General features: G+C 36.5%; 2 protein-coding genes across 10 annotated transcripts in view; one reads left to right on the top strand and one right to left on the bottom strand.

Moving 5' to 3' along the window:
* Positions 42–16,868, bottom strand: part of CLEC12A (C-type lectin domain family 12 member A) — a 54,883-nt gene continuing 38,056 nt past the window's right edge. For 2 of the 5 annotated variants that reach the window (XM_047428399.1, XM_006719035.4), the window contains exon 7: positions 10,902–11,174. In XM_047428399.1, coding sequence (XP_047284355.1) covers positions 11,168–11,174 — 7 coding nt within the window. In that variant the 3' untranslated portion in view covers positions 10,902–11,167. Of the gene's footprint in view, positions 100–10,901; positions 11,175–16,868 lie in introns of those variants that run through there. The other 3 variants (XM_047428400.1, XM_011520573.3, XM_047428402.1) reach the window with 2 other exon arrangements.
* Positions 4,293–13,117, top strand: CLEC1B (C-type lectin domain family 1 member B). Of its 5 annotated transcripts, none has more exons than XM_047428938.1 (8): positions 4,293–4,439; positions 5,446–5,533; positions 6,892–7,155; positions 7,812–7,910; positions 8,913–9,032; positions 9,192–9,346; positions 10,946–11,052; positions 12,905–13,117. In XM_047428938.1, the coding sequence occupies exons 3-8, from the start codon at positions 7,092–7,094 to the stop codon at positions 13,047–13,049; spliced, it is 690 nt and encodes a 229-aa protein (XP_047284894.1). In that variant the 5' UTR covers positions 4,293–4,439; positions 5,446–5,533; positions 6,892–7,091; the 3' UTR covers positions 13,050–13,117. The 5 variants fall into 5 exon arrangements, with proteins under 5 accessions (XP_047284894.1, NP_001380271.1, XP_011518987.1 ...); NM_001393342.1 differs by having other exon boundaries at positions 5,296–5,533; XM_011520685.3 differs by lacking the exon at positions 7,812–7,910 and having other exon boundaries at positions 5,296–5,533.

Here is a 16,868-nt window from a genome sequence, read left to right as displayed (position 1 = left end):
CACTCCATACGTACAGTTTCTCAGCTAAAAACTTGGAATCACCTTTGACAATTCTTGCTGCTCTCACATGAATTAAACTTGTCAGAAAATATTGTTCACCTTGGAAAATATGGAAACACAGTTATTAAATGTGGAAGTATTATTGATTTAGAAGATCTTAAAAGAAATATTGAGTTAACATGACAGAAGGATTCATTCTCACTCTGTTCTTTCTGTTCTCACATTTCATGCCTATTTCAGAGGACACTTTTAAAGTGGGGTTTAAATGGGAAAGTACCCAGAGAATGGCAAGAATGACAATTAATTCCGAATTATTTACAAAAAAGAAATAGGGAAAAGTGAAGATGAAAGCCAGAGGTATCAAAGACTTAAAGGAAACAAAAATAAACTAAAAGCAGAAGGAAAATAAATGGCCACAAGAAGGAGACAGAGGATGAATATAGGATGGAATTTATTTTGAAATGTATTAATATATTTACCCCATCAGGTGAATATACCTGACCAGCATAATAAAATATCCCAATTAAAATGAAGCACTATGAAGACAGACAAATTGATTCAAATCCTGGAGCAACACTTACTTGCCTTGTGGCTTTCGGCAAGTTATTGAACCTCTGTGCTTTATTTTTCTTAATAGTAAATCTGTCATAAATTTAATTCCTGCCACAAATATAACTGATAAAAGCATATAGAAAGAGCAATAAATGGCAGCTGTCATCGTAGAAGCAAGTTTGGATTATTCTGGATCATATTAAAAATGGAAGAAACCTGGGCAATTGTCCAAGCACTGACAGTGAAGCTTAAACAAACCAATCCTCATGAGCACAACGAGGGTCTGCTTGAGCCTGTCCAGAAGAACTCGATTATATCACTTTTCTTCATTCATAACACTTTCCATGATATACAATTATCTTGATCTTTGCTTTCTATGTTTCTTTACTATCTGTGCTGACCACCTTCTACTATAATATAAGCTAAATGCTTGTATAATTCATTAACCATTGGTCCCCAGAAAATAGAATTGTGCCTTGGACATCTGCAGTGATCAGTAAACATATGTTCAAATAAATGATTAATTAATAGTCCCTGCCATGAAGTTTTATAGTAATTTTAATTGGAAAGTACAATAGTAGATATACTTAACATTCTGTGAATCCTTAATTCAAATATACTAGATCATTTCACTTTCTCTTTGATTCAGACAAGAGACAGGGAAATACTGGGTAGAAGAGGGTTGTTCCTACCACACACCGGGGCCTGTCGTGGGGTCGGGGGAGTGGGGAGGGATAGCATTAGGAGATACACCTAATGTAAATGACAAGTTAATGGGTGCAGCATACCAACATGGCACATGTATACATATGTAACAAACCTGCACATTGTGCACATGTACCCTAGAACTTGAAATGTTATATATATATATTTATAAAGAAGAGAGTGGTTCCCTGGCACGTGCCCCACCCTTAAGCTGGGAGACTGGCAGCTCCAAATGGGGACAGACATTCCTGTTTTCATGCCCCAAAAAGTTGCCTTTTGGCCTGCCATGCCCCCTATTCTGTACCCATATAAACCCTGAACTCCAGGCTCCAGATCAGATGAGCAGACGAGGAGATGAGAAGACAAGCAGATGAAAGGTGGAATGACATGACAGAGAAGGAGAGAAGAGGAGGAACTTCTGAACGCCAAGAGGAGTTTGGCTGGGAGTGGTCAGAGAGTAGTTTGGCCGTTGGATGGCCAAACTCCAGAGGAAGATCACCTTCCCATTTCATCCACCTTCCAGCTCCCCATTCATCCCACTAGGAGCCACTTCCACAACTCAGTAAAACCCCCACATTCATCCTTTGAGTTCATGTGTGACCCGTTTCTTCTGGGATGCTGGACAAGAGCTTGGAATACAGAAAGCTGTCACACTGGCCCTCTGCCCTTGAGAAAAGGCCGGGGAGGCACTGAGCTGGTTAACACTTATGTTGTCTGCAGATGGCAGAGCTAAAAGAACTTTGTAACACTGGGGTTCCAGGCACCCACCCCTAGACACTACAGTGGGGCCACAGCCCAAAGTGCTCACCCCAACTCCTGCACCTGCCCGTCTGCATGCTCTCCCTCCCACAAGGGATTTGAGCTCATGACAGTCAAACAGACAGACATGCCCGTCACATACCCTGCTAAGAGGGCCAGACCTCTCCCATTTCACCTTAATCACACTATTTCCCTCAATCACACTGGGTGGATTAGATGAGGTTAGATGGTACTGCTTATTTTTTATTTTTTATTTCTTTTTGAGATGGTCTGGCTCTGTCACCCAGGCTGGACTGCAATGGCACAATTTTGGCTCATTGCAACCTCTGCCTCCTGGGCTCAAGTGAACCTTCCACCTCAGCCTCCCAAGTAGCTGGGACTACAGGCGCACACCACCACTCCCGGCTAAGTTTTGTATTTTTTTGGTAGAGGAAGGGTTTCAGCATGTTGCTCAGGCTGGTCTCAAACTCCTGAGCTCAAGCAGTCTTCCTACCTTGGCCTCCCAACGTGTTGGGATTACAGGAGTGAGCTAGCATGCCTGACGCCTGGCATTGCTTTTTACAAGAGGTACATGTATTCGAACTTCCTGACCTTTATTCAGTTGTTTGCCCTGCCTGAAAAACATTGCCTTCTCCTTTCTCCTCTTAGTCAATATTTACATTTTCTTCAAATATTAATGTAAATCTTAATCCAATTCATTGTTATTTATTGTTTAACATTTTACTTACATATGTTCTGTATACATATGCCTGATCAACTTTGCGGTATGACTGCAGACTGACACATTTTTTCCTTCAGTTTCCCTACTGTTTGTAACAAATGCTCTGCTGTAATTTTGGTCGGATAGTTATTAATTGTTTAGCTTATTAACTTTAAAAAAAAGCTCATTTCACTTTGAAATCCACATGTTTAAGCTTTCTGTAAATGAAGGAGAAAATATTAATTATACTTTTCTATGACAGGAAATCCTACCATTACCAAATTAAACAGTATTTAGTATTTGTGGAAAGCCTGGTAAGTCAAAGGCAAACAGCTTTAGTTTAAAAGTGGTTTATGTTAAAAAGTCTCAGAATAGCTATCACCAGTTGCAAAATACTCACTTCCTTTTGTTTCTGTCTGGAATCATTATAACACCCACAGTGGTCAACATCTTGTTGTCTTTCTCTTTTACACATATTTTACATGTGTAAAATATATACAGGACATCCCTGTATATTGATCAGTCTTAACCACAATGTTACGTATTCCACTAATTTTCATTCTTACTGCATGTACTCCTTGTCATTGTTATTAGTGTCTTTAACTCATTATTCAGCCTTAAACATAGATAATGGAGTCTATGAAAGACTTCATAATGTAGTCGAAAGAATTTAGAAACTGGGTAAATAGTACTACTTTTTACAAGAAGTGTAATGATTAAAAAGTTCCTCAAATTGCCGGGTGCGGTGGCTCACGCCTGTAATCCTAGCACTTGGGGAGGCCGAGGCGGGCGGATCACGAGGTCAGGAGATCGAGATCATCCTGGCTAACACGGTGAAACCCCGTCTCTATTAAAAATACAAAAAATTAGCCGGCCGTGGTGGCGGGCGCCTGTAGTCCCAACTACTTGGGAGGCTGTGGCAGGAGAATGGGGTGAACCCGGGAGGCGGAGCTTGCAGTGAGCCGAGATCGCGCCACTGCACTCCAGCCTGGGCGACAGAGCGAGACTCCGTCTCAAAAAAAAAAAAAAAAAAAACATTACCCAACTTGTAAATTTTTTTAAAGAAGTTCACATAGCTAAAATCTAACACTCTGCTTCATAAAGACTAACCTCATGATTTTTCTCCATGAATACTCAGCACCAATTTCAGTGTCTGAAACATAATTAACATTCATTAAATATTTCCTTTAAAACAGACAATTTAGAGTGTTCTTAATCTGTAAAATATTGAATGAATAAAAGGTTTTATTTTAAATTCAATTTCATCAGGAAATTTGGAATAAAGAATTTTTTTAGGCCAGGCGCGGTAGCTAAAGCCTGTAATCCCAGCACTTTGGGAGGCCGAGGCGGGTGGATCACGAGGTCAGGAGATCAAGACCATCCTGACTAACACGGTGAAACCGCGTCTCTACTAAAAATACAAAAAAAATTAGCCAGGCGTGGTGGTGGGCGCCTGTACTCCCAGCTACTCGGGAGGCTGAGGCAGGAGAACGGCGTGAACCCAGGAGGCGGAGCTTGCAGTGAGCCAAGATGGCGCCACTGCACTCCAGCCTGGACGACAGAGCAAGACTCAGTCTCAAAAAAAAAAAAAAAAGATTTTGTTTAGCTGTATATAGTTTCCTTAGTGAAGAAAAGGAGAAGAGAATAAGATATTCAAGCAAGGTTAAAATATTGAAGCAGAAATAAAATAAGCTAATAACGGGACTTGGAGGGTGATTAAAAGGTAACTAGCAAAGACTCTGGATTTGGGAAAAGGAAAAGAAGCATTTGTGATATCTATCTCTCTTTCCTGCAGTTCTCTGCTTAATTTTTGCTGAGTAACTCAACTTACATTTATAGAATGTGGGGAGGGAGCAAAATTAGAACTCAATGTTATCAAGGGCTAGTTCCTTTGGCCCTGAGAGTCTCTGTCTTCGCTCAGCTTGCTTCTAACACCACAAAGTCATGTGAGGGGGGATACACAGAAAGGCAAACGTATATTTTGTGGAACACAGATAAGATATAAGACTCTCAGACTGTGGCTGGAATGATCAAAGATCCAAAAAGCAAGGTTAAATTACAATGAGAAAGAGGAATGAAGCAATGGAAAGTCCAGAGCCTGAGATATAGGAAAGGAATATCTTCAAAGGCGGAGTGTTAACCTACTTCAGGCATTAAATATGCAGTTCTAAGCATTAAAGGATCAAGAACTAATCCTGGCACATTCCTGGTGGTTTACAAAAATACATGGGACATGTTTTATAATGAAATCAGCTGCTCAAGTCCTAGAGAATGTGGAAACCTCAACAAAGCAATCTAATTGTTCTCTTTAATACCATCTTAAAGTTTTTGTTAATAAACAAAAAATGTTTACAATAATTTAAAAATTGTCTCAATGTCCTTGGATCTTACCTTTACATATCTGATTTAATGTAACAAATTAAGTTTTCATATGTACCTGTTTGGTACCTAAGAGAACAGAGTAAAGCTTTATTGGAAAAGTGTCATTTGTACTATAACCTCCACACATTTTCTTTTCTCTCTGTTACTTTGTCACAGTTATTTATTCGATTATTTTTTAGTGTTTCTGTATATTTTAGGTAACAAAACACTGAAGGAAAGCAGTGACCAAAAGAACGTGAAAGACAGGGGTTACTGTGACAGAATAGCCTCAGGACTTGCTGATGAGTAGATGTAGAAAGGAAGGAAGAGAGGGAGGATCAAACCCCATTCCAACCCCAATCTTCCAGAAAAGCCTGAGGATAAATGATGGGAGAGCGAAGAATCCCTTTTAGCTGAAACAGAAGTTATGAGAACAGAAGCAGTGGTAGATGAATGGTAAGTGACTGAATTTACCCAGCTTATGATTGGGAACCCCTGAATATTTTAACTGAGATAAGAAACACAGCAACAAAAATGGTGTTGGGATTTAATGTTTTTTAAAAATTTTTAGTCTTTTCTTAAAATTTGGCATTTATTTCAAATGTGTTTTTTTTTAATTAAGAATTAGTTTTGGTAAAAATATTTGAATCATACTAAGTTTGGCTTTCCAAAATCAGGGAATGTCTTTTATACGTGTTATGCTTATTCTTCACCTCATTCTCAAAATAATTTGAAGAGTATAGAGAAAGAAATTTAGAATGAAAGATAATTTTAAGTGAATTGACAAGAAATTCAGAGTGAAGGAGATAGCAGGGGAGAAAAAATCTACGGGCTATGCCAAAGGGCATGTTAATAAACAAAATATCTGCTACTGCAGCCCACATAATCACTATATTGAAAAGTCTAACACTCTGCTAAGTAAAGAAAAATAGAATTCAAATTATTTATAAGGTAAATGCCTACTACTTAAAGCTTTGCTAGTCATGGTGATTTAACAAAAATAAAAATCTGCCATAAAACTATGTAAGAGTTACCCTATGGCAAAATAGACAACATCCTCCCCAATATTCCTATAATAAATGCATCAGCTAGCTTTGTATGGCTGTTCTTACAACTACTTTCAGTGCAAGCTAAAATAATGTAAAAGCCCATTTCATAAAGTTAAGTGTGTGCAATACATATTATATTGTGATGAAAAGGTGCTAGGAACCATTCAGTCTCAAATATTCATCTAAGCACAGCTGTACTTGAAATGAAGTGATTTCATCAAATCAAAATTCTTCCATTCCAGGAAACTCACTTTAAAGCACAAACACTACTAAAGAACAATGCAGCAAGTCACCAACTCTGTATTATTTTACTTGATTTGATAGTTTTCCTTCAATACCTAAATCTAAGCAATATCAGGCCTGCCTCATGTGGATCCTTCAAATAAAAAAAAGTATGAAATATGCAAGAAGTTGTGTAAATTCTAGGTCATAATCAGGAATGATCTCTTCCAACACAAGACTATGAAACAGCTAATTTAGCCCCTATCAGATCCAATTATATTACACTTGCTTCTCACAATGAGATAAACTATATATCTGCTGGTGAGCTATATCCATGAATTTTCAGCAGAAATCTCTCATTTGAGCAATGTAATTTAGACTAAGCTAGGGCTAAGATAAAGCATGAACTTTTGTTCTTAGAAAGGATGCACATGATGGAATGTCCCTTTATTTAGTGTTGAAGATAAAAAAAAAGCAGGAAGCAAATACCTTATCTACTCCTTTACCACAAGTTATTATTATTTTTGTGTTTTTGTGTTCAAGGTCCATGTATCTCTGAGCAGCTATGAAGAAGCTTCCTGGAAAACAATAAGCAAAGGAAAACAAATGTGTCCCATCTCACATGGTTCTACCCTACTAAAGACAGGAAGATCATAAACTGACAGATACTGAAATTGTAAAGTTGGAAACTACATTTTGCAAAGTCATTGAACTCTGAGCTCAGTTGCAGTACTCGGGAAGCCATGCAGGATGAAGATGGATACATCACCTTAAATATTAAAACTCGGAAACCAGCTCTCATCTCCGGTAAGAATGCTCAGAGCCAATAATTTGGAAATTAATTTAAAAAATGAGTTGATTCAATTCTTTCTTTTTCTACTATTGATAATATATATAGTTTAATTTCTTTTTCTTGAATGATGTTAATGCTCTAAAGCATTTGAGTAGTGTTTTCATAAGCTCATACAGACCTATTTAGATTACAAACATCCAATATATGTGCAGGGAAAATTGCATTAAGATTCTGAGCGTTTAATACTCGAGGGCATAGAAGTCAAGGGGATAACGGAAAAGAGTGGAAATTTCATTTTCTATATGTGAGCAAATGAGTGTGATTCTTCATTTGCTGTTTATTAAAGCAATTATTTATGGCATGGGTGAGCATAAAACAAAACAAAACAAAACAAAACAAAACAAAAAATACAAACACATCAGGCCTTAACAGCAAGTAATATTTCAGCTTGGAGAGGTAAAGTGCATTGGAGATGAGAATGGATGTATGGTATAGGGGTGGGCCATGCCTATTGTTGATGATCATGAGGAGAACACAGGTGAGATCTGCCAGCAAAGCTCTTTCTATTACTTGGAGGACCCTGAGAAGGCAGGGGCAGGGGCAGGGGTGAGCCTTCCCCATAGCTAACCCATACTGCCTGCTCCTTGATGTCTTTATTATATGCCTACAGTTGGCTCTGCATCCTCCTCCTGGTGGCGTGTGATGGCTTTGATTCTGCTGATCCTGTGCGTGGGGATGGTTGTCGGGCTGGTGGCTCTGGGGATTTGGTGTAAGTGTTGACTCTGCCAGAAATTTGACTGGAGGAAGGTAATACTGAAGGGTCATGGCATATCCCACTAAGCTTCTCAATGGTCGCTATTTGTCTGTTTATCACTTCTACAGTTGTCCTACAGATAGTTGCCAAGAGAATCTCAATAAAGGAGAACACTGACTGTTTCCTTGTGATTAAAATAAGATTTTAAGATTTTAACTAATGAAAAGTTATTTTTAAGAATGTACTACTGGCCTTTAAGACCCTCCTCAGTGTGGATCCAAACTATTTTTAAAAACTTTTTCATCCCTTTTCCTATCTTGCATTCCTAAGAACCAGCCAAACTGGAGTTTTTCAATTTCATATATAAATTCCATGTTCCCTTGTCTGAAATTTTTCTCATTCTATTCTCTCTACCTAAAATTTTCTGTTTCTCATTTTGTTTACTAAGTTACTGTGCATTTCTTCTTTCTGTAATTCTCATGGCCCTCCAATAGCACATTGAAGTCTGTGTAGTTGTTGCTTGTTTGTGTATTTGTTGATTTTTTTAAAAGATGTTAGAATCTAACATTTATCCTCTTGTATTTCTTTATTATTTACCTGAATATCACAAGTACTTTAAGCATAACAAGAAATCAGTATGTATTTTTAAATGAATGAATAGTTTGGCATCACAGAAAGAACAGAAAATAAGAGGTCATTCACCTCTATAACTCAGCTGAGAAGCTTGTATTCAAGCAAATGAATACAGGCTCTGGGGATGTTATCGATGTTGGGATTTTTTATTTGTGATTGTCTCCTTCAAACAGTTCACTTATTAACCCTCAGGCGTCAGTTCTGTGTATTTCTTAATTTGTTCTTTATAGCCCCTCCACACTTTTCAACATTCATTTAATCATGTGTATCTAGTAAACTCCTCATATATTGGCAAAGTTAAGGAAATGAAAATTCAATGACAGACCTTTGCATCATTTCTATGGTTCTAATTACAAATTATTATTATTTACTTTTTAAACCTAGCTGTCATGCAGCGCAATTACCTACAAGGTGAGAATGAAAATCGCACAGGAACTCTGCAACAATTAGCAAAGCGCTTCTGTCAATATGTGGTAAAACAATCAGAACTAAAGGGCACTTTCAGTAAGTATTGTTTTTTTAACCTCTTCATCTCTCCAACCCCTGGAGCATTTCTCTGATGGCAACTGAAGGGAGTTTGAGATCTGCAGAAAACATTGAATGTGAAGAAAATGTAAGCCCAATTTAGAAAAAATACACCATTCCTGTGCTTGGTTTCTCCAGAAGGTCATAAATGCAGCCCCTGTGACACAAACTGGAGATATTATGGAGATAGCTGCTATGGGTTCTTCAGGCACAACTTAACATGGGAAGAGAGTAAGCAGTACTGCACTGACATGAATGCTACTCTCCTGAAGATTGACAACCGGAACATTGTGGTAAGAAGATTCTTATGTCAAATATTTTGGAGGCAAGGAAGAGAAACCTCAAATGTAACACTTGACCTTTTTTTGTTTTTTACATTTTTCTTAACATCTTTCAGTTTGTACTAATCTAAGACCCTTGTGAAACCTAGTAAGAATTACAGAACCCAGATATTCAATCCACTCATAATATTCTACAACACTGATAGAGTTGATCAGTCAAATTGACTTGTCCCTTCCTGACAGCTCAGGTACATAGTGGGTCACACATGAAGAGTCAGCCCAGTGATGTTCATATTTATTTGTGTCCTCTGTTGTTCTAACTTGCTGTGCTGTCCACTTACTGTTTCTGTGGACTCAGACGCATACGGAAGATATCCAGTTACATAAATTAGCTTTTCTTTCCACTCCAGCAAAATAAGATAGTTTTCTAAAATCTCAGCTCTATTATATAGAGATTAATTCGAGACATATATGCATATCCTTAATTTGTATTAGTCTAGGCAGATGCCAGGTTGAAGATTTATAACTAAAAGTAGTCATGCAACTTTTTCAGAAAAAGAAATTGTATAGTTGGATTTCAGGTAGAATTTATCTGTCAGTTCCTATTGGGAAGTATATAATATTGATATATTTTAAAGAAAATATTAGGATATAACAGAAAGGTTCCCGGTGGCTCAAGCTTTAAGAAATAAACAGTCACATGTGACTTTCACACAATATCTCCTGTGGAATGCCATTTTGAGTCTCACATATCTGTCAAGAAGCTCAAGTCATTTTTTATTTACCAAGAATGCATTATCACTTGTTATTCTGGGAGGTCTCAGAATATATAAGCATTTGGCCTTCACATAATTTTGTTACCCATAGATTGATTGATTCACTTATTCCTTCATTAATTCAGCAACTATGTGCTGAAACTATTCCAGAATTTGGACCTATGCAGTTAGTAAGACAGAAAGAAAAATGCTTAACCTCGACAAGAGTATATTCTAGTTAAAGCAACAGCCAAGAAACAAAGCAAATGATATAGTATATAGTTTAGTAGATAGTGATAATTGCTAATTAGAAGAAAGTAAATAGGGAAAGGTAGATGTACGTTATTTATAAATCCTTTTGAGAAAGACATCATAAATGCCTTTATCCAATTAACTACAACAAGTTAATACTTCCATATGTAAGATTTTATAGGCAAGCTGAGCAATAAAACCAAAGCAGGTAGGGCTTTAACTCTAAGGAATATACAGCTCATCAACAATGTATTTCTTTGTATTTCCTTTCTCTGTTTACATTTATTCCTTTGAATCATATTTGGTATTCTATTTGGGAGTATAATCCTCAACTGGTTGAAGATCTAAATACATGTTATAAACACAAAAGAAGATTAGAATATCAGCTATTTTGTGTACAATTTTACCTGTGTCCTATAAGTTTTTTTTAAGTTCTCAGACAAGTCAAATTGGTACAATTTCAAACATCAAATGTAATCCATTAATACTAATATAGACATGTAATCCAACATTTTTTGTCCAACGTCTTATCATGAAGCTTTGTCTATCATACCAAGAGCTGTGGAGGGATTCTGACCATTGTGTTTATTTATGTTTACAATAGGAGTACATCAAAGCCAGGACTCATTTAATTCGTTGGGTCGGATTATCTCGCCAGAAGTCGAATGAGGTCTGGAAGTGGGAGGATGGCTCGGTTATCTCAGAAAATATGTAAGTCACTGGACACTTAGAATAGGAGGGAGTACTGGAAACTCTTATTCTTGAGATTCCCTCTTCTCTCAGTCCAAGTCACTACTATGGGTTATAGAAGCAGCAGCTGGGTCACTTACCTGCTAATTCAAACAAGACAGCGCTGGTCATAAGACAATTCTTTCCCCTCTCTCCCATTACTTTGCTCTTTATCTAAGCCACAATCCACCTTTATCTCTGATATTATTCCCATTCATTTTTACATTCAACCTTACCATGGAACACTGTGTGCATGTATGTGTATGTGTGAGTGTGTGTGTGTGTGTGCGCGCATGCACATGTGTGTGTGTTTTTGTGTTTTGCTTGTTCTGATTATCTTCACATATTTTTAAAACAAAATTTCATATCATTATTTTACAGTTGAAAGTTGTTATCTTGAGAGTCCTTTTGAGTTTTCAATATTGTTTTGCCTATTCCTCTATTCTGGGAGTCTCCAAGAATTCGATACATTGTATTTCACAAGATAATTCCAATGTCCATTAACGAAGCTTTGTCCTTCTACAAACAATCCAGGCAAAGGGACTGATTGCATTGAGTGGAGTTGCTTCCTATATGGCTTTCCAATCTGCAGTCTCAACATCTTTTGTTCATCCTGTATATCAAAACTGCAGTCTCTCTTCAATTAAAATTTAAACTGATAACCAAAACTTATATAATCTGATTATTACTCAAATTATGAATTAAATTTTTAAACAAATATTTATTAAGTATTTACTATAGATAGGATCTTAGGATACTACAACTACAAGCAAGCCTCTTCACAGACCTTGGGCTTTATCTCCTATCTCCTATTGCTTGCTGCCTCATTTACAATATTGCAGGCAACTTAGTGTTCTTTACATTCTTCCAACAAATCAAACTCGTTTTGTTACCTTAAGGCTTTTGTCTTGCTATTTTCTTCTAGAATGCTCTGCCTCCACAACTCCATGACCATCTCTCCACTGAGACTCAAGTCTCTATTTAAACATCACTTCTTCAGTGAACCTAACTCTACCCAAACTAAATTAGCCTCCCTTAAACCCATATCCATACAGTCCACCACTGTTTTGTTTCTTTGTAACTCTTACCACTGTCTCAATTTTTCTTGTCTATTTTTTGTGGGCTTCTTACCGGTATCGCCCCACTTAAATGAAAGTTCCCCAACAAGAAAGACATTAGCTTTCTTGTCTTTCTTTATCAGTGTATCCTCAGCACATAGAACAACTTTGTCACATAGTTCTGCAGGTATTCTCCAAATAAACCAATAAGTATATATTCCTTGTCATCTCATTATAAGCAGTTTAGAAAGAAAGAAATATAACTTAACAGACAATTACAATACAGCCTGCTGTGTTAGATGATTTATCTTGCAACATAAATCCTGATTTCAAAACTACTGAATCAACTCACTTTTCCATGAGCGTATTCCCATCTAGTGCAGCTACTTGTCCTGTAGGGCTCTTCCATCTCCTGTCAGTTCATCTGAGTCCTGACCTTCCATCAATACCGAACTAAAGTCTGATCTTGTAGATAATGCGTTTTCCCATTATTTTGGAGCCATCTCCATCACTTCTTCAGGGCTCCTATTGTACCTACTGTTCCCTTGCTCCTAATTTTATGCTAAATGAAATTGATATTGGGCTTTTTAAATATGCATATCTTGTACTGCCAAGCAGGGTGGAACTTTCTCAACAATGAGAATCGTTTTTTTTTTTGTTTTTTTTTCCTATTTTCCTCAGTCTCTATTTGGTGCATCAAACTACTATACGCAGAGTCTGATTACTGATTGTTTGCTCAGTTTTCAAAGGAATTTATTCTAACTTTCCCTTCACAGGTTTGAGTTTTTGGAAGATGGAAAAGGAAATATGAATTGTGCTTATTTTCATAATGGGAAAATGCACCCTACCTTCTGTGAGAACAAACATTATTTAATGTGTGAGAGGAAGGCTGGCATGACCAAGGTGGACCAACTACCTTAATGCAAAGAGGTGGACAGGATAACACAGATAAGGGCTTTATTGTACAATAAAAGATATGTATGAATGCATCAGTAGCTGAAAATTGCTTATTTCTCCCTTTCTTCTCACTGGAGTTATTTTTAATATTATCTTTCCTATCAGAATTACCTAGTCCCTTCTTTGAATATACAGAAGCCATCACGTGAGTTTATCATTTGCTTCCCAATTGTTCTATTTTCCTTTAATTTTCTTTCTTCTTGTCCTTCATTTCTAATTACCTGAACATGGTATGATTTACTGCATCTTCAGATATACACATATAACATCAAAATCAGGCCAATATAGGTTAGGGCTTAATTAATATAAGTTGTGCAAAATATCTATGTTTGAAATCTGTCCAAAATATCTAAGTTTGAAAGGCGGTGTAAGATAGTAAAAAGAATATTAAACTTAGAATCAGCAAAATAATTTAGATGTCAATTAACTAAATTACAATCATGAACAAGTTTCATAACCTCTTTAACTTCCCTTTTCTCATATTTAAAATAGGAATAATAACAACCATCTTTTATATCTCACAGTTCTACAACCTAAAATAGAACTTTAGAGTGTTAACTGTACCAGAAACTCCATGAAAGCGAACACTATGACTTCCCCATTCACTATTCTCTTACCAGCACCAACCCGAAACCCTGGCTCACAAAACAGAGAGATATTTGTTTCTCTTTGTATAAGATAGTTCATGAGAAAAATAGCTCAATCATTAAAACATTACGCAAATAGAATTACTATTCCAAGTCTACCTCTGGTTAGATTCAACAGTAGTAATTTTCTGCGCTAGAGAAGGAAAAGAAAGTTTGCAAGAAAACTCACTGGGTTTGTAAAATGAATAAATGCTTCTTAAGTTTCAGAGGCTACTAGACAGAAGGACAAGTAAAAATGCTTTAATTAGTATTTTCCTAACAGTTCTGTGCTTTATTTTTGCTGAGTAACTCAGGAAGTATTTACAGAATATGTGGAAAGGCACCCTTTTACAGGATAATAGGAAAAAATTGCATTTCTTTCCCACAGCTTCCCTTTTTTAACTAGTGGCTACCATTTACGAACATGATTCTCAAACATCTCAACGGAGGTTTTGGTTAAAACATAGAGAAACCAAATAGGAAACTCAAATGCTGATGTTACTCAGTGGGAAGACTGAGGAGACACAGAGACCTGGGTTTTTACCAGCATCACGACACAATTCTCATACAAGTAGTCTTTAATACAGTTAGAGAAATATCACTACTTTAGAACTTACTCTCTATCTGGCTTTGGATAAGTAATGTTCTCACCTTGAAATGGGTTTAATATTATTACCTTGCTCATAAGTTAATTGTGAAGCTCATTTAATATGATTATATAAAGTATCGATCAGAATACCAAGTATGTAATACATACTCAATAAATATGTGTTACTCTTAAAGCTTTGTGCGCTAACACTGAAAGACACTTGAATCTTTATCTTTTTTCTAGCCTATCAATAATTAAGCAGATTTGGAGGGCTTAGGAAAAATAATAGAAATACCTCAAATTTTACTTGTTACTTCAAATGTCTGGAGATCTTGGATTTGGGTGATGGTATCAGTATGTTTTTTATTTTGAATTGTCTATTTAGAGAAACTAAATAGGAACCAATAATTCAGAAAACTGTACAAAATTAGCAACTCAACTTTGTTTCATCTCCCTAAAATGGAAAAACATATGTGTATACATCCCTATAGCACACATAAACTTAGAAGAATAATATCTTAGTGCATGGCAACAATACAATTAAAAATGTAGGCCAATCACTGTGATTCTTTTTCTGGTATTCATATCTAAAGTATCTTATACATAAAATCAAAATAGCACAAACGTTAGTAGCACAGATCAGACCACCTCATTTCAAATACTAAATCTTCTACATGTCATCTAAGTGAACTCCAGCAAAATTTGACTTCTGTCTTCTTCAATTTAAAACTAACTTACAGGCATGCCTCGGAAATATTGTGGGTTCAGTTCCAGACCACCACAATAAAGCAATTATTGCAATAAAGTGAGTCACATTAATTATTTGCTTTCCCAATTCGTGTAAAAGTTATGTTTGAGCTACAACGTCTTCTATTAAGTATACAACAGCATTATGTCTGGAAAATGTACATAGTTTTATTAAAAATAGTTTATTGCTAAAAATGCTGATTATTTGAGTCTTTAGTGAGTGAAAATCTTTTTGCTGGTGTAGCGTCTTGCCTTGATGTTGATGGCTGCTGATGGATCACAGCAGTGGTTGCTGAAGGATGGGGTAGATGTGGCTATTTTTAAAATAAGACAATGGTGAAGTTTGTAGCATCAATTTAGTCTTCCTTTTATGAAATTTTTATCTGTAGAATGCGATGCTGTTAAATAGCATTTTACTCATCGTAAACTTCTTTCAAAATTGAAGTCAGTCCTCTCAAATCCTGCTACTGCTTTATCAACTAAGTTTATGCAATATTCAGAATACTTTATTAGCATTTCAACAATGTTCACAGCATGTTCACCAGGAATAATATTTGTCTCAAGAACCATTTTCTTTGCTCATCCATAAAAAGCAACTCCTCATTTGTTAAAGTTTCCTGATAAAATTGCATCAATTCAGCCACATCTTCAGGCTCCACTTCCAGTTCTAGTTCTCTTGCTATTTCCACCACATCTGCAGTTACTTCCACCACTGAAGTCTTGAACGCCTGCAAGTTATCCATGAGGGTTTGATTCAACTTCTTCCAAGTGTCTGTTAATGTTGACACTTTGTCTTCCTTCCATGAATCACAAATCTTTTTAATGGCATCTAGAATGGTAAGTTGTCTCCAGGTGGTTTTCAATTTACTTTGCTCTGATATATAAGAAGAATCAGTATCTGTGGGAGTTATAGCCTTATGATGTGTATTTCTTAAAGAATAAAACTTGAAAGTCAAAATTACTCCTTGATTTGTTGGTTGCAGAAAAGGATGCTGTGTTAGCAGGACTGAAAACATTAACCTCCCGGTACATGTCTATAAGAGCTCTTGGGTGACTAGGTGCATTGTCAATGAGCTGTAATATTTTGAAAAAAAGACCTTTTTTTTTTCTGAGCAGTGTTTCTCAACAATGGGCTTAAAATACTCAGTAAACAATGCTATAAACAAATGTGCTTTCATCTAGACGTCATTGTTTCATTCATAGAGCATTGGCAGGTACATTTAGCATAATTATTAAGGTCCCTAGGACGTTTGAAATGATAAAAGACTACTGGCTTTAACTTAAAGTCATCAGCTGCATTAGTCCCTAACAAGAGAGTCAGCTTGTCCTTTGAAGCTTTCAAGCCAGCCATTGACTTTTCCTCTCTAGGTATAAAAATCCTAGATGACATGTCTTTCCAATACAAAGCTGTTTCATCTAGACACCTTCAGCTATCTTAGCTATATCTTCTGGATAACTTGCTCCAGTTTCTACATCACAACTTGCTGCTTCATCTTTCATTTTTATGTTAGAGAGAAGGCTTCTTTCCTTAAACCTGATGAACCAACCTCTGCTAGCTTCCAACATTTCTTCTGTAGCTTCTTCACCTCTCTCACCCATCACAGAATTGACAAGAGTTAGGGCCTTGCTCTGGATTAGGCTTTGACTTAAGAGAACGTTGTGATTGGTTTCGTCTTGTATCCAGACCACCAAACTTTCTCCATATCAGCAATAAGGCTATCTTGTTTTCTTACTATTTGTGTGTTCATTGGAGCAGCACTTGTAATTTCTTTTTTTTTATTATTATACTTTAAGTTTTAGGGTACATGTGCACAACGTGCA

This window comes from Homo sapiens, chromosome 12 (genome assembly GCF_000001405.40).
Source record: "Homo sapiens chromosome 12, GRCh38.p14 Primary Assembly".
NCBI lineage: Eukaryota > Metazoa > Chordata > Mammalia > Primates > Hominidae > Homo > Homo sapiens.
This window is presented reverse-complemented; position numbering and strand designations above follow the sequence as displayed.